At 45.8% G+C, this 23,832-nt stretch overlaps 1 long non-coding RNA gene and 1 pseudogene across 2 annotated transcripts, besides 8 other annotated features; both read right to left on the minus strand.

Moving 5' to 3' along the window:
• Positions 1-1,706: 1,706 nt before the first annotated feature.
• Positions 1,707-23,536, minus strand: LOC105371574 (uncharacterized). 2 transcript variants are annotated; one of them, NR_188341.1, is made up of 3 exons: positions 23,268-23,536; positions 16,150-16,225; positions 1,707-2,039 (listed from the first exon to the last, which is right to left on the minus strand). It is a non-coding gene; the product is annotated as an uncharacterized LOC105371574 (long non-coding RNA). The 2 variants fall into 2 exon arrangements; NR_188340.1 differs by lacking the exon at positions 16,150-16,225.
• Positions 3,481-4,265: an enhancer, noted in NCBI's record as "H3K27ac hESC enhancer chr17:19344229-19345013 (GRCh37/hg19 assembly coordinates)". NCBI's record gives its function as "activates a minimal SCP1, AML or CMV promoter by ChIP-STARR-seq in naive H9 embryonic stem cells {active_cell/tissue: H9 hESC(naive)}" and the evidence as "EXISTENCE:reporter gene assay evidence [ECO:0000049][PMID:30033119]".
• Positions 8,498-9,440, minus strand: RPS2P46 (ribosomal protein S2 pseudogene 46; annotated as a pseudogene).
• Positions 15,463-15,964: an enhancer, noted in NCBI's record as "H3K4me1 hESC enhancer chr17:19356211-19356712 (GRCh37/hg19 assembly coordinates)". NCBI's record gives its function as "activates a minimal SCP1, AML or CMV promoter by ChIP-STARR-seq in naive H9 embryonic stem cells {active_cell/tissue: H9 hESC(naive)}" and the evidence as "EXISTENCE:reporter gene assay evidence [ECO:0000049][PMID:30033119]".
• Positions 15,965-16,464: an enhancer, noted in NCBI's record as "H3K4me1 hESC enhancer chr17:19356713-19357212 (GRCh37/hg19 assembly coordinates)". NCBI's record gives its function as "activates a minimal SCP1, AML or CMV promoter by ChIP-STARR-seq in naive H9 embryonic stem cells {active_cell/tissue: H9 hESC(naive)}" and the evidence as "EXISTENCE:reporter gene assay evidence [ECO:0000049][PMID:30033119]".
• Positions 20,553-21,098: an enhancer, noted in NCBI's record as "OCT4-NANOG-H3K27ac-H3K4me1 hESC enhancer chr17:19361301-19361846 (GRCh37/hg19 assembly coordinates)". NCBI's record gives its function as "activates a minimal SCP1, AML or CMV promoter by ChIP-STARR-seq in primed H9 embryonic stem cells {active_cell/tissue: H9 hESC(primed)}" and the evidence as "EXISTENCE:reporter gene assay evidence [ECO:0000049][PMID:30033119]".
• Positions 21,099-21,645: an enhancer, noted in NCBI's record as "OCT4-NANOG-H3K27ac-H3K4me1 hESC enhancer chr17:19361847-19362393 (GRCh37/hg19 assembly coordinates)". NCBI's record gives its function as "activates a minimal SCP1, AML or CMV promoter by ChIP-STARR-seq in primed H9 embryonic stem cells {active_cell/tissue: H9 hESC(primed)}" and the evidence as "EXISTENCE:reporter gene assay evidence [ECO:0000049][PMID:30033119]".
• Positions 21,646-22,191: an enhancer, noted in NCBI's record as "OCT4-NANOG-H3K27ac hESC enhancer chr17:19362394-19362939 (GRCh37/hg19 assembly coordinates)". NCBI's record gives its function as "activates a minimal SCP1, AML or CMV promoter by ChIP-STARR-seq in naive and primed H9 embryonic stem cells {active_cell/tissue: H9 hESC(naive and primed)}" and the evidence as "EXISTENCE:reporter gene assay evidence [ECO:0000049][PMID:30033119]".
• Positions 22,739-23,285: an enhancer, noted in NCBI's record as "NANOG-H3K27ac hESC enhancer chr17:19363487-19364033 (GRCh37/hg19 assembly coordinates)". NCBI's record gives its function as "activates a minimal SCP1, AML or CMV promoter by ChIP-STARR-seq in primed H9 embryonic stem cells {active_cell/tissue: H9 hESC(primed)}" and the evidence as "EXISTENCE:reporter gene assay evidence [ECO:0000049][PMID:30033119]".
• Positions 23,286-23,832: an enhancer, noted in NCBI's record as "OCT4-NANOG-H3K27ac-H3K4me1 hESC enhancer chr17:19364034-19364580 (GRCh37/hg19 assembly coordinates)". NCBI's record gives its function as "activates a minimal SCP1, AML or CMV promoter by ChIP-STARR-seq in primed H9 embryonic stem cells {active_cell/tissue: H9 hESC(primed)}" and the evidence as "EXISTENCE:reporter gene assay evidence [ECO:0000049][PMID:30033119]".

The following is a 23,832-nucleotide window of genomic DNA, read 5'->3' on the forward strand; positions in this document are numbered from 1 at the left end:
ATGGGAATGGGTGGTTTGATATGCCTCATTATACCTTCCTCCCTTGGAACTCAGGCACAACTGACCACCATTAATATTAAAACAAGAGACCTTAACACTGATGAAATAGACTCATTTTTTCTTTTTTTGAGACAGAGTCTCACTCTGTCCCCGAGGCTGGAGTGCAGTGGCACAATCTTGGCTCACTGCAACCTCCATCTGCCTCCCAGGTTCAAGTGATTCTCCCACCTCAGCCTCCTGAGTAGCTGGGATTACAGGTGCATGCCACCATGCTTGACTAATTTTTGGATTTAAATAGACCCTTTGCAGCAATAAGATACCAACATGACAGATAGCAGGCCCCAAAAGAAATAGAAATATTTTACCCCAAAATATATTTCTTTGACATATTTTGAAATGGCCCTGCACAGCTTTATCTTGTGGAGAAAATCTACATTCAGTAGAGAATCCCCTTCCCTTTCCAGGTATTTTTCCTGATGCAGGAGAGAATTAACTAAGAGTCTGGCACCTTTCTAAGTCTGATAAAAAAACATGTACAATCTATTCTCTCTGAAGTCTGCTACCTGAAGGCATCATCTGCATAATAAGAACCTTGATTTCCCAAACCCCTTATCTTAACCCAGATATTCTCTTCTATGGATTCCAGGTCTTTAGATAATAACTCTTTCAACCAGTTGCCAATTAGAAAATCTCTGAATTCACCTATGACCTGGAAGCCCCCTCTTTGAGTTGTCTCACCTTTCGGCACCAAACCAATGTATATCTTACATGTATTATTATTATTTTGAGACAGAGTCTTGCTCTGTCACCCAGGCTGGAGTGCAGTGGCGTGATCTCGGCTTACCATAACCTCTGCTTCCTGGGTTCAAGCAATTCTCCTGCCTCAGCCTCCTTAATAGCTGGGATTACAGGTGCACGCCACCACACCTGGATAATTTTTGTATTTTTAGTAGAGATGAGGTTTCACCATGTTGTTCAAGCTGGTCTTGAACTCCTGACCTTTTGATCCACCCGCCTCGGCCTCCCAAAATGCTGGGATTACAGGTGTGAGCCACCATGCCCAGCCATCTTACATGTATTGATTGTTGTCTTGTCTCCCTAGAATGTATGAAACCAAGTTATGGCCCAATCACCTTGGGTGCATGTTCTTAGGATCTCCTAGGGCTATGTCACATGTCATTGGTCCTCATGTTTGGCTCAGAATAAATCTCTTCAAATATTTTACAGAGTTTGACTCTTTTCGTTGACAGGATAATTATAAATTTCTCTGGTGGGACAAATTTCCCTAATATTTCCTGTAAATTGCTAGAGAAAAGAGTAGGAGAGTCCTGAAATCCTTGAGAAATTCTTTACTAAGTTAAGTATTGAACTCCTTTGTAGGTAAAAGCAAACAAGGGTTTGGACAGGAACAGGAAGAAAAAGCAGAACACATTACAGACAACAGAAACAAAGTCAAAATAGTTGCAGGATTAGGAACTACAAATTCATTTACTTCTCAAAGATCTTGTACAAATCTACACAATGGTCAACCATCTTTACCAAATTTACTTTCCTTGCTTACTGGAAGTATGGGAGTATGACAAGGTGAGGCTACCTTTTATAGAAGTATCCCTTGTTTTTCTAATTCTTTTATAATGGGTTTGATTCTCTCAAACCGAGCTCAGGACAAAGGATATTGTTTCACATACGGCCATTGTGGCATATCCTTTAGGTAAACCATTTTTATTGGTTTTATATCTTGAATTAAACCAGCAGTATTATTCCTCAGGGCCCAAAGGGACGCATGGATCTGAGTTAGTTGGGGGGCGCTTTTCAGCATGGTGTGAGATTGCCACTCTCTCTCATCACTTTTTTCTTCCAGAAGGCAGAGTAAACAAGTCAGGGTCCTTTGATTCTCTTTTCCAGGGAGCTTGACAAACACTTCATCTAAGTACAGAATATGGTTGCCTTTAAGTTTTGCAGCAGGTATCTCCCAAGTGGATTTTTTAGGAGAATTAGGAGAAAAGAAGAATACATTGTTCCTCATTCGGAGGATCTATCTGTATGGGAACCACAGAAAAGAAGGAACGGTTAAAAAGAATTCTAATTGCTGTTGGGTGGAGTCTTAAAAATATTAATTAGGTCAATGTGATTAATAGCACTGCCAAGTCTTAAGTATCTCCCCTGGGTTTTATATCTACTTGGTCATCAATTACTGAGAGAGGAATATTGAAATCTGTTACTGTAATTGTGGATTTGTCTGTTTCTCCTTGTAGTTCTATCAGGTTTGCTTCATGTATTTTGAAATTATGTTATTTAGTTGTATAGACATTTAAGAATGTCTTATCTTCCTTTTGCATGTAGCATTATGAAATTTTTCTCTTTAACATACGTCATAGTCATTTTGAAGTTTACTTTGTCTGATATTAATATGGCTATTCCATGTTTGTTTTATTTAGTGACTTTGTGGTATATCTTTTTTCATTTTGTTACTCTTAACTACCTGTGTCTTTAAATTTAAACTTGGTTTCTTGTTTCTTATAGACAGCATATTTTACATCTTGCTTTTCTTATTAATTCTGATGATATCTGCTTTTGTTCACAGTCTTTAGACCATTTATATTTAAAGGAATTCTGATATGATGTGCAGTGATGTGGTTTTTTCTTTTTTACTTTTTTATCATTATAAAATACAAAAAACGTAATGTGTGTATTTCTTTATGTTTCCTATGTTTAAGGTTTATTGAGATTCTTGGATCTGTTGGTTTATAATTTTCAGCAATTTTGGAAATTTTCATAAGATTATTCTTCATATTTTTCTTTACACTTTCTCATTCTAAAATTCCAATGTCATGTACATCAGATTACTTGATATTATCACAAAAATCCTTGATTATTTTTTCCATCTGTACTTCATTCTTTCTCTGATCTTTTCTTCTCTGGTCTTTTTTCTTTAATACTTATATGGTTTGGATTTGTGTCCCTGCCCAAATGTCATGTCAAATTGTAATCCCCAATGTTGGAAGAGGGGCCTGGTGGCAGGTGATTGGATCATGGGGGTGGACCTCCCTCTTGCTGTTCTTGTGATAGTGAGTTTTCATGAGATATGGTTGTTTCAAAGTGTGTAGCACCTTCCCCTTCACACTTTCCTCCTGCCCCGGGCATGCACCTGCTTCCCCTTTGCTTTCTGCCATGATTGTAAGTATTCTGAGGCTTCCCCAGCCATGCTTCCTGCACAGCCTGTGAAACTGTGAGTCAATTAAACATCCTTTCTTTATGAATTACCCAGTTTCAGGTAGTTCTTTATAGCAATGTGAGAATGGACAAATACAGAAAATTGATACTGGGAGTGAAGTATTGCTATAAAGATACCTGAGGTCTCCCTCTCCCTCTACCTCTCCCTCTCCCCACGGTCTCCCTCTCCCTCTCTTTCCACGGTCTCCCACTGATGCCGAGCCGAAGCTGGACTGTACTGCTGCCATCCCTGCTCACTGCAGCCTCCCTGCCTGATTCTCCTGCCTCAGCCTGCCGAGTGCCTGCGATTGCAGGCGCGCACCACCACGCCTGACTGGTTTTCGTATTTTTTTGGTGGAGACGGGGTTTCGCTGTGGTGGCCGGGCTGGTCTCCAGCTCCTAACTGCGAGTGATCCGCCAGCCTCGGCCTCCCGAGGTGCCGGGATTGCAGACAGAGTCTGGTTCACTCAGTGCTCAATGGTGCCCAGGCTGGAGTGCAGTGGCGTGATCTCGGCTTGCTACAACCTCCACCTCCCAGCCGCCTGCCTTGGCCTCCCAAAGTGCCAAGATTGCAGCCTCTGTCCGGCCTCCACCCCGTCTGGGAAGTGAGGAGCGTCTCTGCCTGGCCGCCCATCGTCTGGGACGTGAGGAGCCCCTCTGCCTGGCTACCCAGTCTGGAAAGTGAGGAGCGTCTCTTCCCGGCCGCCATCCCATCTAGGAAGTGAGGAGCGCCTCTTCCCAGCCGCCATCCCATCTAGGAAGTGAGGAGCGTCTCTGCCTGGCCGCCCATCGTCTGAGATGTGGGGAGGGCCTCTGACCCGCCGCCCCGTCTGGGATGTGAGGAGCGCCTCTACCCGGCCGCGACCCCGTCTGGGAGGTGAGGAGCATCTCTGCCCAGCCACCCCGTCTGAGAAGTGAGGAGACCCTCCGCCTGGCAACCGCCCCATATGAGAAGTGAGGAGCCCCTCCGCCTGGCAGCCACCCCGTCTGGGAAGTGAGGAGCGTCTCTGCCCGGCAGCCACCCCATCCGGGAGGGAGGTGGGGGTCAGCCCCCGCCAGGCCAGCCGCCCCGTCCGGGAGGGAGGTGGGGGGGGTCAGCCCCCCGCCCGGCCAGCCGCCCCGTCCGGGAGGGAGGTGGGGGTGTCAGCCCCCCGCCCGGCCAGCCGCCCGGTCTGGGAGGTGAGGGGCGCCTCTGCCCGGCCGCCCCTACTGGGAAGTGAGGAGCCCCTCTGCCCGGCCACCACCCCGTCTGGGAGGTGTGCCCAACAGCTCATTGAGAACGGGCCATGATGACAATGGCGGTTTTGTGGAATAGAAAGGGGGGAAAGGCGGGGAAAGGATTGAGAAATCGGATGGTTGCCATGTCTGTGTAGAAAGAGGTAGACACAGGAGACTTTTCATTTTGTTCTGTACTAAGAAAAATTCTTCTGCCTTGTGATCCTGTTGATCGGTGACCCTACCCGCAACCCTGTGCTCTCTGAAACATGTGCTGTGTCCACTCAGGGTTAAATGGATTAAGGGTGATGCAAGATGTGCTTTGTTAAACAGATGCTTGAAGGCAGCATGCTCGTTAAGAGTCATCACCACTCCCTAATCTCAAGTACCCAGGGACACAAACACTGCGGAAGGCCGCAGGGTCCTCTGCATAGGAAAACCAGAGACCTTTGTTCACTTGTTTATCTGCTGACCCTCCTTCCACTATTGTCCTATGACCCTGCCAAATCCCCCTCTGTGAGAAACACCCAAGAATGATCAATTAAAAAAAAAAAAAAAAAAGATACCTGAAAATGTGGAAGTGACTTTGGAAATGGGTAACGGGTAGAAGTTGGAACAGTTTGGAGATCTCAGAAGAAGACAGGAAGATAAAGGAAAGTTTGGAACTTCCTAGAGACTTGTTAAATTGTTGTGACCAAAATGCCGATAGTGATATGGTTAATGAAGTCCAGGCTGAGATGGTCTCAGATGGAGATGAGGAACTTATTGGGAACTGAAGCAAATGTCACTTTTGTTATGTGTTAGCAAAGAGGTTGGAGGCATTGTGCCCCTCCCCTAGAGATCTGTGGAACTTTGAACTTGAGAGTGTTGATATAGGGTATCTGGCAGAAGAAATTTCTAAGCTGCAAAACATTCAAGACTTGGCCTGGCTACTTCTAGCAGCCTATGCTTATATTTGTGAGCAAATAAATGAGCTGAAACTGGAACTTATCTTTAAGAGGGAAGCAGAGTGTAAAAGATTGGAAAGTTTTCAGCCCAGCCATGTGGTAGAAAAGAAAAACCCATTTTCAGGGAGGAATTCAACCCAGCTACAGAAATTTGCATAAGAGGAACCATAATAATAGCCAAGACAATGGGGTAAATGCCCAGAAGGGATTTCGGAGACTTTCATGACAGTCTCACCCATCACAGGCATGGAGGCCTAGAAGGGAAGAATTTCCTGGGCCAGGCCCGGGGCTCAACTGCCCTACACAACTTAGGGACACTGTTCCCTGCATCCCAGCTATGCCAGCTCCAGCCATGGCTAAAAGGGACCCAGATACATCTCAGGCCACTGCTCCAGAGGATGCAAGCCATAAGCCTTAGCAGCTTCCATGTGGTGTTAAGCTGGCGGGTACACAGAGAGGAAGAGTGGAGGCTTGGGAGCCTCTGCCTAGATTTCAGAGAAGATATATGGAAATGCCTGGATGTCCAGGAAGAAGTCTGCTGCAGGGAAGGAGCCCTGATGGAGGACCTCTACTAGGGCAATATGGAGGGGAAATATGGGGTTGGAGCTGCCACACAGAGTCCCCACTGGGGCACTGCTTAGTGGAGCTGTGAGAAGAGGACCACTCCCCAGAATGGTAGATTTACCATCAGCTTCCACTATGCACCTGGAGTGCCACAGGTACTCAACTCCAGCCCATGAAAGCAGCTGAGGGGGCTGTACCCTGCAGAGCCACAGAGGTAGAGCTGCCCAAGGCCCTGGGAGCCCACCTTTTGCATTGGTGTTCCCTGAATATGAGACATGGAGTCAAAGGAGATTATTTTGGAGCTTTAAGATTTAATGACTGCCCTGTTGGGTTTCAGACTTTCATGGGGCCTGTAGCCCTTTTGTTTTGGCCAATTTCTCCCATTTGGAATGGGAGAGAGTATTTAGCCAATGCCTGTACCCCCACTGTATCTTGGAAGTAACTAACTTGTTTTGATTTTACAGGTTCATAGGCAGAAGAACTTGCCTTATCTCAGATAAGACTTTGGATTGTGGACTTTTGAGTTAATGCTGGAATGAGTTAAGACTTTGGGGGACTGTTGGGAAGGCATGATTGTATTTTGAAATATGAGAAGGACATGAGATTTGGGAGGGGCCAGGGACAGAATAATATGGTTTACATTTTTGTCCTTGCCCAAATCTCATGTTGAATTGTAATCCCCAATGTTGGAGGAGGGGCCTGGGGGGAAGTGATTGGGTCATGGGGGCAGACTCCCCCTTGCTGTTCGCGTGATAGTGAGTTCTCATGAGATCTGGTTGTTTCAAAGTGTGTGGCACCTCCTGCTTCGTGCTCTTCCTTCTGCTCCCACCATGTAGGAGTGCCTGCTTTCCCTTCACCTTCTGCCATGATTGTAAGTTTCCTGAGGCCTCCCCAGACATGCTTCCTATACAGTCTGTGGAACTGTGAGTCAATTAAACCACTTTTCTTTTCTTTTTTTTTTTTGAGATGGAGTTTTGCTCTTGTCGCCCAGGCTGGAGTGGACTGGAGCGATCTCAGCTCACTGCAACCTCCGCCTCTGGGTTCAAGTGATTCTCCTGCCTCAGCCTCCCGAGTAGCTGGGATTACAGGCATCTGCCACCATGCCTGGCTAATTTTTGTATTTTTGGTAGAGATGGAGTTTCACCATGTTGGCCAGACTGGTCTCGAACTCCTGACCTCAGGTGATCCACTCACCTCAGCCTCCCAAAGTGTTAGGATCACAGGCGTGAACCACTGCACTTGGCCTAAACTTCTTTTCTTTATAAATTACCCAGTCTTAGGTAGTTCTTTATAGCAATGTGAGAATGAACTAATACAAATACCTACTCTGCTGTTAATTCCATCTAATGTTTCTTTAAAAATATTTTCTATTTATCTCCTCATCTTCTACATTCTTGAGCACGTGAACCATATTTATGATATCTATTTTCTATATCACGTCTGTTAATTGCATCATTTATGTCACTTATGAATCTTATTATATTGATGGATTTTTGTCCTGATTATGTGTGATATTTTCTTGCTTTTACCATGTCTATTAATTTAAAATTTTTTTTTAACTTATGGTAAAACAAATGTAACAGAATTTACCATTTTAACCATTTTTAAGCATACAGTTCAATGGCATTAAGTACATTCACATTATTGTGCCACCATCACAATCATTCATCTCCAGAATTTTTTTCGTCTTACAAAACTGAAACTCTGTACCCATTAAACAGTAACTCCCCATTCATTCCTCCGCCCAGTCCCTTGCAACCACCATGCCACTTTCTGTCTCTCAATTAATTCTGTCAATGTTGCTTCATACATTTGGGTGCTCTGCTGTTAGATGCGTATTTCTCCTTCAGTTTTGAAGGACAGTCTTGCCAGTCATAGTATTCTTGGTTGATAGCTTTTCTTCTCTGAACATGTTGAACATATCATCCCACCCCTTTCTTGCCTATACAATTTCTGTGGAGAAATCTACTTATACTATAATGGGAGCTCCCTTGTACATCATGAGTCACTGCCCTTGCTCTTTTAAAGACAATAGTTTGATTATAACATGTCTCTCTGTATGGGCCTCTTTGAGTTCATCTTACTAATAATCTTACTAATTTACTAATATTTGTTTTGAGATTGTTGAATTTGGATGTCCACTTCCTTTGTCAGATTTGGGACGTTTTCAGCCATTATTTCTTTAAATAAGTTCTCTTTCTTCTCTTTCTGGAATGCCTTTAATGTGTATGTTGATCTGCTTGATGATGTCCCATTAATCTCTTAGGCTATCCTCACTTTTCTTCATTTTTTCTTCTTTTTGCTCCCTGACTCAAAGATTCAAATGACCTGTTGTTTAGTCCACTGTTTTGTTTGATCAGGTCTGCTTTTGAACTCTTTTAGTGAATTTTTCAATTCAGTTGCTATATTCTTCAGCTCAAAAATTTCCGCTTCTTTCTTTTTTTTATCATTCTATCTCTTTGTTGATTTTCTCATCTTGTTGTTGCATTTTTAAAAATTTCATTTAATTATCTGTGTCCTCTTGAAGGTCACTGTGTTTCTTTTTTTTGTTTTGTTTTCACGCTTAATTCACTTTATTTTTCTTGTATAAAAACCCTATGTTGTAGCCACAGCTGGAGCCTGAGTCCGCTGCACGGAGACTCTGGTGTGGGTCTTGACGAGGTGGTCAGTGAATTCCTGATAGGGAGACTTGGTAAATACAGTCTCCTTCCAGAGGTCGGGGGTTAGGTAGCTGTAGGTCTTAGAAATGGCATCAAAGGTGGCCTTGGTGAAGTTGCCCAGGGTGGCAGTGCAGCCCCGGGCTGAGGTGTAGCAGTCATCGATACCAGCCATCATGAGCAGCTTCTTAGGCACAGGTGCGGAGACGATGCCAGTGCCCCTGGGTGCAGGGATGAGGCGTACCAGCACAGAGCCGCAGCAGCCTGTCACCTTGCAAGGGACAGTGTGGGGCTTGCCGATCTTGTTCCCCCAGTAGCCTCTGCGCACGGGGACGATGGAGAGCTTGGCCAGGATGATGGCCCCACGGATGGCGGTGGCCACCTCCTTGGAGCACTTAACACCCAGACCGACGTGGCCGTTGTAGTCCCCGATAGCAACAAATGCCTTGAACCTGGTGCGCTGGCCGGCACGGGTCTGCTTCTGCACTGGCATAATCTTCAAAACCTCATCCTTGAGAGAGGCCCCCAGGAAGAAATCAATGATCTCTGATTCCTTAATTGGGCAGGGAGAAGAGATAGATCTCCTCCAGGGACTTGATCTTCATGTCCTTGACCAAGCGGCCCAACTTGGTGACGGGCATCCACTCCTTATCCTCGGCCTTGCCTCCGCGAGCTCCGCGGCCTTGGCCCCGGCCCCGTCCACGGCCGCGACCCTGGCCCCGGATGCCACTGCCGAAACCTCCGCGGAAGCCACCGCGGTTCCCCATCTCAGGGCCACCAGGGCCTCCGGGCCCCCCCGCTGCACCGGCGTCATCCGCCATTTGGTGTTTTGTCGGAAAAGAAGCCACTGTGTTTCTTTAAGACAATTATTTTGAATTATTAATCCGATAGTTTATAGATCTCCATCTCTTCGGAGGCAGTTTCTAGAGATTTATTTTGTTCCTTTGATTTGGTTATATTTCCCTGCTTTATTGTGTGGCTTGTGATATTTTTTTTGTTGAGTTGTACGCATTTGAAAAAAAATAGCCTTCTCTCTCAGTCTTTATGGATTGGGTTTGTACGGGGGAATTCTGTTCACCAATCAGCCACACCTAGAGATTCTGGGGGCCTCTGAAATCTTTTTAGGAGGACGCAATTCCTCTGAGCTTTGCCTGTAATTTTCCAGTTAGAGAGGTTTGCCAGTTTCTTTTTCAGAAGATCATAATCTTTGGCTCCCTCTGGTGTCTGTCTCTAGAACTGCAGGTTCCCTGGTGCCACAGCAGCAAGCCACTCTCCTCTCCTTTGTTTTCAGAGGCCCCATCCAAAGTATGCTGGTTCCCTGTCAGCTCCCCTAGATCAGATGAGACATTCACCAGTCCTTGGAGCAGCTCTCTGAAAAGCTGGACAGCCAGCCAAACAGCCCACTCTTCTACCTCCCTGCCAAGGGAAGACCTATGAGTTGAGCACCTCCCAGTTACCCTGAGTCATGCCATCCTCTGTGTGCCGCACTTCAGGCCTTCTGGTGGCACAGTAAGCCACCCCATTCTCCCTTGCTTTCAGCATCCTCCAGGCATCCAAACTATTCTGGTTCCATTAGTGCCCTGAGTCAAGTAAGACAGAAACTAGTTTTCTGGGCAGCCTTCTGAGAAGCTGGAACGCTGGGCACTCTTCTCTCCCCTCCCTCTAACCTAAGGGAGAAGCCATGAGAAAAGCCGAGCTGTGCTAGCTTGGGACAGGGACAATTGCAGATAAAGTGAAATGGCTCTTCTTACTGATTTCAATGCACTGTTCTTGGCTTGATCTTGCCTTGGGGTACTGCAACTTCCTCACTGGTTTCTAGAGTTCTCATAAAGGTATTTTGGTCTATATATTGTTGTTAATTTGGTGTCACTGTGAAGGAAACAAGGGTGGGGGCTTCCTATTCTGCCATCTTGCTGATGTCACCCCAATTCCTCTATTCTTTACTCCAAAAGATCATATCAGGTCAAAAGATGTACAGAACTGGGTGTCAAAAAGGTGTTCAACACAAATATATTTAATGAAAGGTTGAACAAGTGAGGCAGAGGTTTAGTGTTACTCTAACAGAATACTGGAGACTGGGTAGTTTATGAAGAAAAGAGGTTTATTTAGCTTGCAATTCTGGTGGCTGGAAAGTTCAAGATTGGGCCTCTGGTGAGGGTCTCAGGCTGCTTCAGCTCAAGGTGGAATGTGAAAGGGGAATCGGCATGTGCAAAGAGATCACACATGCTGAAGAGGAAGCAAAGCAGGGAGGAGGTCCCAGGCTGGTTTGTTTGTTTCTTTGTTTTTTGAGACGTGGTCTTATTCTGTCACCCAGGCTGGACACTGTAACCTTGAACTCCTGGGCTCAAGCTATCTTCCCACGTCAGCCTCTTGAGTAACTAGGCCCATAGGTGCATGCCACCATGGCTGGCTAATTTTTTCCTTTTTGGTAAAGACAGGGATGTTGCAATGTCTGTGTTGCCCAGGCTGGTCTTGAATACTTGGCCTCAAGCAATCCTCCTGTCTTGGCATCAAGCAATCCTCCTGTCTTGGCATCCTAAAGTGTTGGGATTAGAGATGCGAACCATCACACTGGCCCAGGCTCCTTTTAACAACCAGCTCTCTTGTGAACTAATGGGAGGACATTAATTCATTCATGAGGGATCCACCCCCATGACTGAAACCCCTCCCACCAGGGCCTATCTCCCAAAATTGCCGCATTGGGGATCTAAATTTCAATACGAGGTTTGAAGGGGACCTTTTTTCTGATCTGCTGTTGTAAAACCACAGCAGCTGTGGGGACAAGGGTAACTCTATTTCAGATGCTAATCCACCATGTGACTCCTGACTAACCTCGAGTCTGGGAATGCCTCCAAGATGTCTAGTTGATGTATTATTCTTTATGTAGAAATCTCTGTTTACTGTAAGTTTTGCCTTCCCTCCTAATCAACCCTTGATGTTGTTGCACACATCATAGGCCATGACACCCTCAGCATTCTTTCAGCTATCTACACATTCCTTCCGGAGCATGTAGACTTCCCTCCCGATACATAAGCCATGGGTCTCAGGGGTTGCAGTACACAGATCTGCCTGTCTCGTGGCCATAGAAGACTACACTTCTGTGTGTAAGTTCCCTAATAAATCACCCTTTACTGACAAACTGGATTTGTCTGCCTTGTTCTTTGGTTTCTTATCTCCTTCTGTGTTTGTGGGTCACTTTGCATTTACAGGGCTTTTAGGAAAGAACAACAGACCAGACAAAGATTATACCTCCTTGAACTAGTGAGAAAACTAAAGATCAGGAAGGCTATTGGATATACCCAATGTCAAAGTCCTTAATAGCAAAGCAGCAATCAGAGAGCCAGAAAATCTGTAAGCAAGAGATAGATCTGTAGTGGATTGAGTAGTGTTCCTCCAGGTACTGTCTACCAGATCCTCAGAATGTGACTTCGTTTGGAAATGAAACGTCTTTGCAGATGTAACTAAGCTAAGGATCTCAAATGATGTCATACTGGACTTAAGGTGGGCCATAAGTCCCCTAACTGGCATCCTTGTGAAAGAAAGGAGAAGGAGATTTGAGACGAGACACAGAGGGAGATGCCTTGTGAAGATGGAGGCAGAGATTGGAGAGATGTGTCTGCATGACAAGGAACGCCAAATATTGCTGGCACCCACCAGAAACTAGGAGAGAGGCACAGAACAGACCCTCCCTCACAGCCTCTAGAAAAAATACCCCCACCGACACCTTGATCTTGGACTGCAGGCCTCCAGAATTGTGAGAGAATAAGCTTCTGTTTGTTTGAAGCCACACAGTTTGTGGGATTTTGTTACAGCAGCCTTAGGAAGCTTCTGTTGGGTTTAAATTTCAGAGCCATAACTTCTATTCCCAGTGACACCACAGGCCTTGAGAAGGGGATGGAGTCTCAGGCACTCTCACACCATGCTGACTGGACAGCAAATCTGTAAAGTCATTCTGTAGGGCAATCTGACTATATACATCAAATGTACGTTTTATTTTATCAGTAGCAACAATCGTAGGAGCCTCACTCAGATGCAACAGTAAAGGACCAAGGTCTGCAGGAATATTTAAGACACCATATTCTGAACCTAAGACCACTGCCCAGCCTTAGTGGACTTGTGATTTCTCTTCCCCCTAGTTTTACATTTGGGGGGCCTGCTCTGCAACGTGGTCATTCTGAAATCGAGACCAAATCTTGTTCAGATGCGAGAGAAACAAAACAAAACTAGGTTCCACCCTTGGCTAACACTCACCCCACTCACCACAAAGGATGGTAGTGAAACTACAGAAGAAAACAGAGGCCAGGCACGGTGGCTCACGCCTGTAACCCCAGCACTTTGGGGGGCCGAAGTGGGCAGATCACAAGGACAGAGGTTCGAGATTAGTCTGGCCAATATAGTGAAACCCCGTCTCTACTAAAAATACAAAAATTAGCCGGGCATGGTGGCAGGCGTGGGAGGCTGAGGCAGGAGAATCGCTTGAACCTGGGAGGCAGAGGTTGCAGTGAGCCGAGATTGCGCCACTGCACGCGCCACTGCACTCCAGCCTGGGCGACAGAGTGAGACCCCATCTCCAAAAAAAAAAGAAAAAAGAAAAAGAAAACAGATTTGGCTGGGTGAGGTGGCTCACACCTGTAATCCCAGCACTTTGGGAGGCCAAAGCGGGCGGATCACCTAAGGTCAGGAGTTTGAGACCAGCCTGGCCAACATGGTGAAACCCTGTCTCTACTAATAATACAAAAATTAGTCGGGTTTTGTTGGTGCATGCCTGTAATCCCAGCTACTCAGGAGGCTGAGGCAGGAGGATTGCTGGAACCCGGGAGGTAGAGGTTGCAGTGAGCCAAGATCACACCATTGCACTCTAGCCTGGGTGACAGAGCAAAACTCCGTCTCCAAAAAAAAAAAAAAAAGAAAAAAAGAAAACAGATCCAACTGAGAGGGGAATAACAGGCAAATTGGCATCAGAAAAATCAATCCCGTGCTTGTGTGCGGTTATAAATACCTCTGAAAATTGAGGACTTGCCCGTTGTTAGTGGATTGTTTCATCACTGTATTAAACGTAAAGGGGACAAGATAGAAGATGTGGTCTTCTAGGCACTGGCTCCATGGAACACTATCTGGGGGAACTTTCTTTAACACAGATAATGCAAATGCCTATTTTTCTAATAACAATTAATTTAAAAAATTTCTATCTTCAATAGTGAGAAAAACAAACAAATAAAAACAGAACAATAACAACAACAACAAAACAATGAATGAACAGACCGGGTGCAGTAGCTCATGCCTGTAATCCCAGCACTTTGGGAGGCTGAGATGGAAGGATTGCTTGAGCTCAGGAGTATCACGCCCAGCCTGGGCAAGATAATGAGACCCTGTTTCTACTACTACTACTACTACTACTAATAATAATAATAATAAATAGCCAGGAATGGTGATGTACACCTATAGTTCCAGCTACTCAGGAGGCTGAGGCAGGAGGATCACTTATGCCCTGGAGACCAAGGCTGCCATGAGCCATTAACACACCACTGCACTCTAGCCTGGGTGACAGAGAATCTGTCTCAAAAAAATAAGTAAACAAACAATTAATGGACAGATGTTTGGAAGACAAAGTTTACCTCCCAGAATTCTATAGACCTTTCCAGAGATGTGGAATGTTAGCATTTTTATTTATTTTTTATATTTATTTATTTATTTATTTATTTATTTATTTATTTATTTAGAGACGGAGTCTTGCTCTGTCATCCAGGCTGGAGTGCAATGGCACGATCTCTGCTCACTGCAAGCTCCGCCTCCTGGGTTCATGCCATTCTCCTGCCTCAGCCTCCCGAGTAGCTGGGACTACAGGCGCCCACCAACATGCCCGGCTAATTTTTCTGTATTTTTAGTAGAGACGGGGTTTCACCGTGTCAGCCGGGACTGTCTCGATCTCCTGACATTGTGATCCGCCCGCCTCGCCCTCCCAAAGTGCTGGGATTACAGGCGAGTCACCGCGCCTGGCGCAATTTTGTTTATATGATTCTGATATCGTCCCATTTAACACATCAAAAAATGCACAAATACATACTTTAAAAACATTCTACAGTTCTTTGACTTTTAAAAAATATCTTTCAAAAATCTTTTTAAGAATGCTTGACATTGTATCTACCCTCTTAACATGCAGACATGCACACGCAGGGTCATGCACACACACACTGGCTGGGACTGGCAGAAGGGGCCACTGTGGTGTGCCTGCAAGCCTAGGGGTGGGCCCAGGTGGCACCATGGCAGGGGCAGATCTTGGTGGTAGTAGTAAATATTCAAATGAGCGTTTTGAAGGCCAAAGTGGAGAAGGATTCCATGTGAAAAGCAGTTGAACATGGGTCAGTCGGTCCTGAGACAGGCGAGCATCATCCCAAAGGAGTAGGCATTGGCCTCAATCGCTGTCAGTGATAGAAAGGGAGTTGGGTTTGGATTCCCAAATCCAGAGTGGCGGAGATAGGAAACACCAAGTTGCCTTCTCCAGTGCTGTATCCTGGAGGAGCCGGCAGGAGCCCAGGGAGAGATCTCTTTTTCTTGTGAAGTGCAGGGCGTGCTAGAATAAATTCACAGTTCTGGAGACTTCTAGTGGCACTTGAGAATCCGGGGAAGGGGGTGCAAATCTCCGTGGCCCATATACCAGCAGGTCTCCCAGGTGAACAGCCTCTGGACAAAGTAGGTAAGGGAAGTCATCCAGCCAATCACTTACTTGGGAATAAAAATGGGCTCTAAGGGCTCGTCAGGTACTCTTGACTGGTGAATATGGTTTGGATGTCTGTCCCCTCCAAATCACGTGTTGCAGTGTGATCTCCAGTGCTTAAGGTAGGATCTGGTGGGAGGTTTTTGCGTCATGGGGGTAGATCTCTCATGAGTGGCTTGGTGCCCTTCCTGAACTGATGAGTGAGTTCTCACTCTATTAGTTCACATGAGAGCTGGTGGTTTAAGACAGCCTGTCATCTCTTGCTCTCTCTCTCACATGTGACACAGTGGCTCCCCTTTGCCTTTGGCCATGATTGGAAGCTCCCTGAGGCCTCACCAGAAGCAGGTGCTAGTGCCATGCTTCTTGTACATCCTGCAGAACTGTGAGCCAAATAACCCTCTTCTATATAAATTCCCCCAGCCTCAGGTATTTCTTTATAGTGAAGCAATATGGACTAACACACTAGATAAGGTGATTAACTTTCCCATCCTCACCCAGGATCCCCTGGACCTTAGATATCTCCAGCCTCCTGCCCCCAAGGAAGGGTGGATGTAGGGCCCTAGTGGGAGAAAGGGTCCTGCAGTGTCATGGGGTCGCTGGGTTCAGGGACTGTGGCTGTGGACAGGAGCTGGGCCTTTCCCATGGATAGCCCCAGCTGCTGTGGGCCTCGTGGCTGCCCAGGGAGCCCCAGTCTCCAGCAAAACCTCAGCCAAGGGAATGTGCTTGGAAGGATCTTGGGGAAAGACCCCAGAGACTGAGCGTGGTCTGGCCTGGTGAGGAGACAGAGGAGTCTGCTACTCCTGTGGTTTTCTCCAATGACCAGCAAGAGCATCCTGACCTCCAGGAATTTTCACCACCAGCTCTGGGGAGGTCCACTGGTGTCCCAAAGCAGGCCAGGGTTGACAGAACTTCCCCTGGAACAAAAGGGGGAAAGTGCACTTGATTTTCACTTTCAGGATGAACGGGAATGCAGGGCCTCTCCATCCTTCTAACTACGGGGATTTTACTCAGGTGACGTCAGACAAGTCATACAGGGATCCAGGTGAAGTGCACATCCCCATTTAATGCAGAAATACACAAATTGAGTTCCGATCTCCTGCCTGTCAGCACGGCCCCTACTAACCCTGAGACAGCATCCTCAGATTTTCAAAATGAAGGGAACTTCGCTGTCAGCAAACAGCTGTGGTACCCAGGTGCTCTGCCAAAGAAGCAACCAGGAACTTTAGAACTGTGCTCTTCAAATGCCTGGCAACCCCTGCACTTTTCTCCGTGAGAGGTGATCAGCCAGGGTCAGAGTGGAAACGCTAAAGAAGAGCTCCCTGGGAGTGTGGGCACCACGATAAGTCTCATCCCCAGACACCTCTCCACAGCCACTTTGCCTGAATTGCCAAGTGAATGGCGGTGCTGCAAACACTTTTGCTTTTAGTAGGTCTTTATGCAAGGAAATAAAAAATCTCAGGACCACTCAACTCCTTCTGCCAAAGGGAAAGTTAAGCCTGGAGGCTGAGTCACTGGCAACACCCTCTTCCAAATGAATTGCTGTTACTTCACAACCTTGTGTCAAAGCATTAGGCATTAGCTAGACCCCCATGGAAGGGCCTCAGGCATCTCCAGATGACAACCCCCACAAAGCACTCATAAGTAAACTCTTATGTCAATTGACTTGACTTACTGTCAATCAAGGAAAATAACCCAGGCAAGTCTCAATCATTTTGGGAGGCCTATTTGCCAAAGTTAAGGATGCACTCCCAGAGACAGGTCTATGCCTTTCTCTGAAGATAATTTTGGTGGCTTCAATATTTAAAGGGGAATGGGCGGAATATTGAGAAATACACAACTTTCATGTGAGAGCGGGGTAGGGAAAAACAGTCATTCATGCCTTTGCCTGGCTCAGTGAATCTGAATTTTTACATGAGATGCCATAGACCATAGGGCAGAGGAAACAGTAAGATATGCATTTGTCTCACATGGGCAGAAGCATGAATCTGAGCTCTGTCGTATGTCCCAGCACCTGTGAAGATAAGCTATCAATTTACATTGCCATGGTGAACTGCAAGAGAAACATTTTAGAGTAAAGATCTTGAGGCCCATAAGGATCTTTACCCTAAAATGTGAGGGAGGTATGTAGCTTTTCATCTTTGCAGCCATCTTATTTGTGACCCAAAATGGGAGGCAGGTTTGCATGCGCTGGTTCCCAGCTTGACTTTTCCCTCTGGCTGAGTGAGTTTGGGAGTCTCAATATTTATTTTCCTTTCACACACCTTTCAAGATGTCTTTCTTCCCATAAATAAGGACTTGAGATGTGCAATCCAAGTCCAGCTCCTAAAACTAAAGTCTGTTGTTGCATTCCACGCTGACAATGTCCATTACAAGCTTATCTTCCGAGGGGCAGAACAAAGTCGGCATGAGATCAACCATTCCTTCCCCTACCAAGAGACATCAGCATAATTGAGACCTCCTTTACTCCCCTCTTCCTTCAAACATTCACCTTATCTGATGTAAAATGTAGGTTTACTGGACACTAACTAAAGTCTCACAAGAATGTAACATTTGCCTTGCCACCTACCTGCCCCTTTTCCTACATGCATTCCCCCACTTTAAGGAAATTTATATGTACAGAAGCTCCTGAAAACTTCTCCACAAAAAAACAGCCACAGGTGCGTCTCTGGCTTGAGTTTTTCCTCAGATGTGCCCTCAAGCTCTAGCTTACTAAACCTCAAATCATTGAGCCTTGCCTCAGTCACTCATTTAGGGTACCATTTATAAACATGTGTGATGAGGCCCCCAAGTACTCCCATTTTTGCTGGAGTGAGAACCTTCCCTCTCTCCTCACAGTGATGCTGTAGCTGCCTGATGGGTTCTTCCTGGCCACTGCACAAAGGAGACCAATGCATTGCAGTAAAGAAAGAGTTGAACAGATGTAAGGCTGCTCACGCCATGTGGGAGACAAAAATTATTACTCAAATCAATCTCCTTGGGCTGGACATGGTGGCTCACACCTGTAATCCCAGCACTTTGGGAGGCCAAGGCAGGCAGATCACTTGAGTGCAGGTCAGGAGTTCGAGAACAGCCTGTCCAACATGGTGAAACCCCGCCTCTGTTTTAAAAATACAAAAATTACCTGGGTGTGGTGGTGGGTGCCTGTAATCCCAGCTACTCGGGAGGCTGAAGGATGAGAATTGCTTGAACCCAGGAGGTGGAGGTTGCAGTGAGCTGAGATGGTGCCACTGCACTCCAGCCTGGCTGACAGAGAGAGACTCTGTCTCAAAAAACAAAAACAAACAAACAAACAGAAGATCAATCTCCTTGAAGGCTCATAGGGTAGGGGTTTTTCAAAAGTAGTTTGGTGGGCAGGGGGCTAGGGTATGGGAAGTGCTGATTGGTTGGTTCAGAGATGAAATCAGGGGATTGAAGCTTCCTCTTGCACTGAATCATTTCTGGGTGGGGCCACAGGAGCAGTTGGCAGATCCTGGTGGGTCCAGGTGGAGCCATTGGTGTCAGACATGCAAAAATCCTGAAAAGATATCTCAAAAGGCCAATCTTAGATTCTACAATAGTGATGTTATCTGCAGGAGTAAGTGGGGAAATTGCATGTCTTGTGAGCTCTGGAATAATGGTAGTGATTGTTTATGTGTACTCCTTGGCAGAATCCAGGCTTCTCTTCCTCCTAGCCTGGTGGTCACTCACTAGCTTTACAAAGGCAATTGAGTTTTGGGAAAGGGCTATTAAAATTTAAACTATAAACTAAATGTCTCTCAAAGTTAGCTTGGCCGAAGCCCAGGAATAATTAAAGGCAGCTTGAAGGCTAAAGGCAAGAGTGGGGTTGGCTAGATCAGATCTCCCCCTCTGCCATAATTTTCTCACTGTTACAATTTTTGCAAAGCCAGTTTCAATGTGACTGGAGGGAGGAGAGGGTCCTTGTTCTCAGGAAAACAAAATCAGTCTGTGGAGGGAGATCTGTCCTCCCCTGTGGCTACTCAGTGATTATAGCGCTGCACAGTTGACCCTCGAACAACACAGGTTTGAACGGCATGAGTCCACTTACACGCAGCTCTTTTTCAACCGAATGAGGATGAAAAATACAGTATTCATGGGATGCAAAGCCCACATTTACAGAGTGTTGACTTTTCCTGCAAGGAGGTTTGGCAGGGCTGACTGTGGAAGTTGAGTATGTGGGGATCTGGTTATATGCCATTGGTCCTGGAACCAGTCCCCACATAGATCAAGGGACGACTGTATTTGATATTATTTAGGAAGCTTCTGAGCTCAGATTGGCCATTGGTTGAAAGAGTTATTATCAAAGTTCTAGAATCAATAGAAAGGAGTGTCTGTGTTACAATAAGAGGTGGTGGAGACCAAGGTTTTAGGCAGGCGAAGCCTCCACGTAGCAGGCTTCAGAGAGAATAGAGTGTTAATGTTTCTTGTCAGACTTGAGAGTCTGTTCTGTCAATCTTAAGGCCTCTGTGTTGATGTTCATGCTGGTCAGCTGTGCCAGAATTCCAACAGGGAGAAGGGTATAATGAGGCACACCTGATTCCCCCTTCTCATCATGGCCTGAACTGGTTTTGCAGGTTAACTTTGAAATGCCCTCGGCTAAGGGGAGGGGTCTGTACAGATGTTTGGGGGGCTTAGAATTTAATTTTTTGTTTACAGTGGTTTTCTGCAGCTCACCACTTAACATTAAATCTGTTTCCTCTGTTCCTAAATTGGCAAGCTGATCTTATCTATTCAAATGCAGAAAATCTTTTTTTTTTTTTTGAGACGGAGTCTCACTGTCACCCAGGCTGGAGTGCAGTGGCACAATCTTGGCTCACTGCAAACTCCACCTCCTGGGTTCAAGCGATTCTCCTGCCTCACCTCCCAAGTAGCTGGGATTACAGACACACGCCACCATGCCCAGCTAATTTTTGTATTTTTAGTAGAGATGGGGTTTCACCATGTTAGCCAGGCTGGTCTTGAACTCCTTACCTCAAGTGATCCACCTGCCTTGGCCTCCCAAAGTGCTGGGATTACAGGCGTGATCCACTGTACCTGGCTCAAATGCAGAAATTCTGAAGCCTGAAGTCCCTGTACAGTTGGAGCTTTTGATAAAACTTCAGGTTTCTTTAAAGGGCCTTCTTCAACACTCCACCCCTAGGCTGTGTTCAAAACTGCAGCGTAACTGAGAAAACGGTGGCAGCCTGGGGTGAATGCAGTCCCTCCCTTTTCCTAATCCATGAAACTCCTCTACATGAAAACCACTTGAAAGTTACAGACATGGAGGGAGGGACTTTATGTCTTCCTTGGGGGCAGCCAAGACAAAGAGGGATGCTAAGCAGATTATCTTGGTATTAATCATTCAAATGCAGGAGTGGAGACTTCAGGACTCAGGCCTAGCAGGGGAAGGTTGTGGCTCATGAACCCCTGCTTACAGCCTGGCACCCTCCTACTGCAACCGTGCTCTACGGACAGGTTTTCATCATTCATCCTCATGTTCCACAAGGTGTTCCAGAAATCCTCTGCCCCATTCCACACACCCACCGCAGTAGCCTGGTCAAGTGATTTCAAGTGGGTCCTCACCACTAAAAAGAGGAAGATGGACAAACTTTTACTCGCGTCCTTGTGAAGAGCCCACCAAACAGGCTTTATGTGAGCAATAAAGCTTTTAATCACCTGGGTGCAGTCGGGCTGAGTCCGAAAAGAGAGTCAGCAAAGGGAGATAGGGGTGGGGCCGTTTTATAGGATTTGGGTAGGTAAAGGAAAATTAGTCAAAGGGGGTTGTTCTCTGGCTGGCAGGGGTGGGGGTCACAAGGTGCTCAGTGGGGGAGCTTTTGAGCCAGGATGAGCCAGGAGAAGGAATTTCGCAAGGTAATGTCATCAGTTAAGGCGGGAACAGGTCATTTTCATCTCTTTTGTGATTCTTCAGTTACTTCAGGCCATCTGGATGTATACGTGCAGGTCACAGGGGATATGATGGCTTAGCTTGAGCTCAGAGGCCTGACACAAACATGAGTGAACGCCACAAATGGCACCTCCATATGAGGAACTGGGGCAAAAGGAATAGAGCGAGGGGGCTTTTGTTTGGCAAATTGTGCCTCTAAGACCCACTCTCAGGGTTGTATTAAAAAATGTAATCGATGTTTAAAAAGCTAACACAGAGCACAGGTATTTGAGGACTAAGCTCTGATTTTTTTCTTATCTTGCCCAAATTCCTATCTAAAGGGTCTGGAGAGTCATGCTCTACAAACCATAAATTCTCATCAGATGAGTTTTATTTAACCCTATATATCGTGACTTACTTTCCAATCTGACTCTGGCATAACATCACATGACAAAACAGAAAATCAAAATATTTTACCCCCAAACAAGTTTATTTGCCATACCTTGAAATGGCCCTGCAAAGCCATCCTTTGTGGGGGAGAAATTTGCATCTGTAAAGAATCTCTATTAACATAGCTAGATCTTTTTGTTTCAGGCCCTCCCAGTTCTGAAGAGATTAGCTGAGAGTCTACCAGCTTTTTAAAGGTCAGAATGGGAAACATTTGTCATCTATTGTCTCTAAGGGCAGCCACTATGAGACATCAAAAGAACCTTGGTCTCCACAATCTTTTATCTTAACCTAAACATTTCCTTTCTATTAATCCCAGGTCTTTAGACAAACTCAACCAATTGTCAACCAGAAAATGTTTAAATTTACCTATAGCCTGGAACCCCACCCCCCTTCAAATTGTCCTCCGTTTCTGGACCAAACAAATGTATTTCTCAAATGTATTTGATTGATGTCTCATGCATCTCTAAAATGTATAAAACCAGGCTTCTGCACCCCAGCCACTTTGGACACATGTTCTCAGGACCTCCTGAGGGCTGTGTCATGGGCCATGGTCACTCATATTTGGCTCAGAATAAATCTCTTCAAATATCTTACAGAGTTTGACTCTTTTTGTCAACATATTGTTCTGAGTGATTTTATTGTCCCCACATGAAACTCACAGAACCTCTGTGAGTTGGGCTCCATTGCCTTCCTCTTTGCATGTAGAGTGTGGGAATCTAAGACATGCCCTCAGCCCACAAATGATGGCCAGTGACAAGTAGGGGCTCAAATTCAAGTAGTCCAGTGCCAAAGAAACTTGATAACCCCTCTTAGGGTGTAGCCATTATGCACTTTGGCTCATTTTCCTTCCTGGTGACTTCAGATCAATTGTGGAGAAGAAGGAGCTGGATGAGCTTTGGGTGGGTCATTTATGGTGAGCAACACTTACAGAAAGAGCCTGTAAACCTCTGTGTTGTCACTCTGTCTCTTTCCTGCCATACACAGATTCCTTTATGAACATAGGCATTAAAGGGTATTATTTAAGGAAGTGTTCTTCCCACAACCTTAATTTTTAAAAATTTATCTCTTTTTTGAGACAAAGTCTCACTCTGTCACCCAGGCTGGAGTGCAGTGGTGTGAACACTGCAGCCTTGACCTCCTGGCCTCAAGCAAACCTCCCACCTCAGCCTCCCAAGTAGCTGGAACTGCAGGTGTGTGCTGCCATGCCTGGCTAATTTTTGTATCTTTTGTAGAGACAGGGTCTCCCCATGTGGCCCAGGCTGGTCTCACACTCCTGGGCTCAAGCGATCTGCCTGCCTCAGCCTCCCAAAGTGCTGGGATTACAGGTGTGAGCCACCGTGCCTATCCTTATTTTCATTTTTAACATGACACAGCCAGCTATAAATTCTGTGGGAAACAACGCCCTGTGGGATAAGATCATCACTTTCTATTTTTCCTTTAATAAAAGTCACCCTAAATGGGACTCAATAAAAATAATTATTTGCTGCCAAAATGAAAGTCAAAACTGAGAAATAGAAAAATCAAAGATAAAAATCCACTGTAATGAAGACTCACAAAAGATCAACTGAGAGAAATGTTTGCCACATTTATGGAAAATATAGAGTTAGTGAACAAATTAAGGAATTAAGGGCTCGAGGCTTATTTACCATCACTGCAGAAACCACACTCAATGTGTAAGAGGCGGGGTCCAAGGCGGCAGACCTCTGCTGGACTTCTGTGATCCCTGCTACTTTCTGGCAGGGGCACACTGGGTTCAGAGACTTGTCCTACATTCAGTTGGCAGTGGGACCTTGGATAGGTCATCCTCTCTGAGCCCTAATAAATTCACCAATAAACTGGAAACATCTCCTGATTGGTCACGGGTGGAAGGTCAGTGGGATGGAGAAGGATGACTGTGGGCAGCTGGGAGTACTTCCCTAGAGGGAGCCAAGTGGGCAAGCAGCCCCAGCATGATGTCACAGATGGCCCATTGTGACTTATATTTAAAATTTATATTCAAAAGGGAAGCAGAGCATAAAAGTTTGGAAATTTTGCAGCTTGAGCATGTGGCAGAAAAAGTAAAAGCACTATCAGGGGAAGAATTAAAGCAGGCTGCAGAATAATCATTTGCTAGAGAAATTTGCATAACTGAAAGGGAGCCAAGTGCTAATTAACAGCCAAGACAATGGGAAAAGGGCCTCAAAGGCATTTCACAGACCTTTAAGGAAGCTC

Source organism: Homo sapiens, chromosome 17, assembly GCF_000001405.40.
Source record: "Homo sapiens chromosome 17, GRCh38.p14 Primary Assembly".
NCBI lineage: Eukaryota > Metazoa > Chordata > Mammalia > Primates > Hominidae > Homo > Homo sapiens.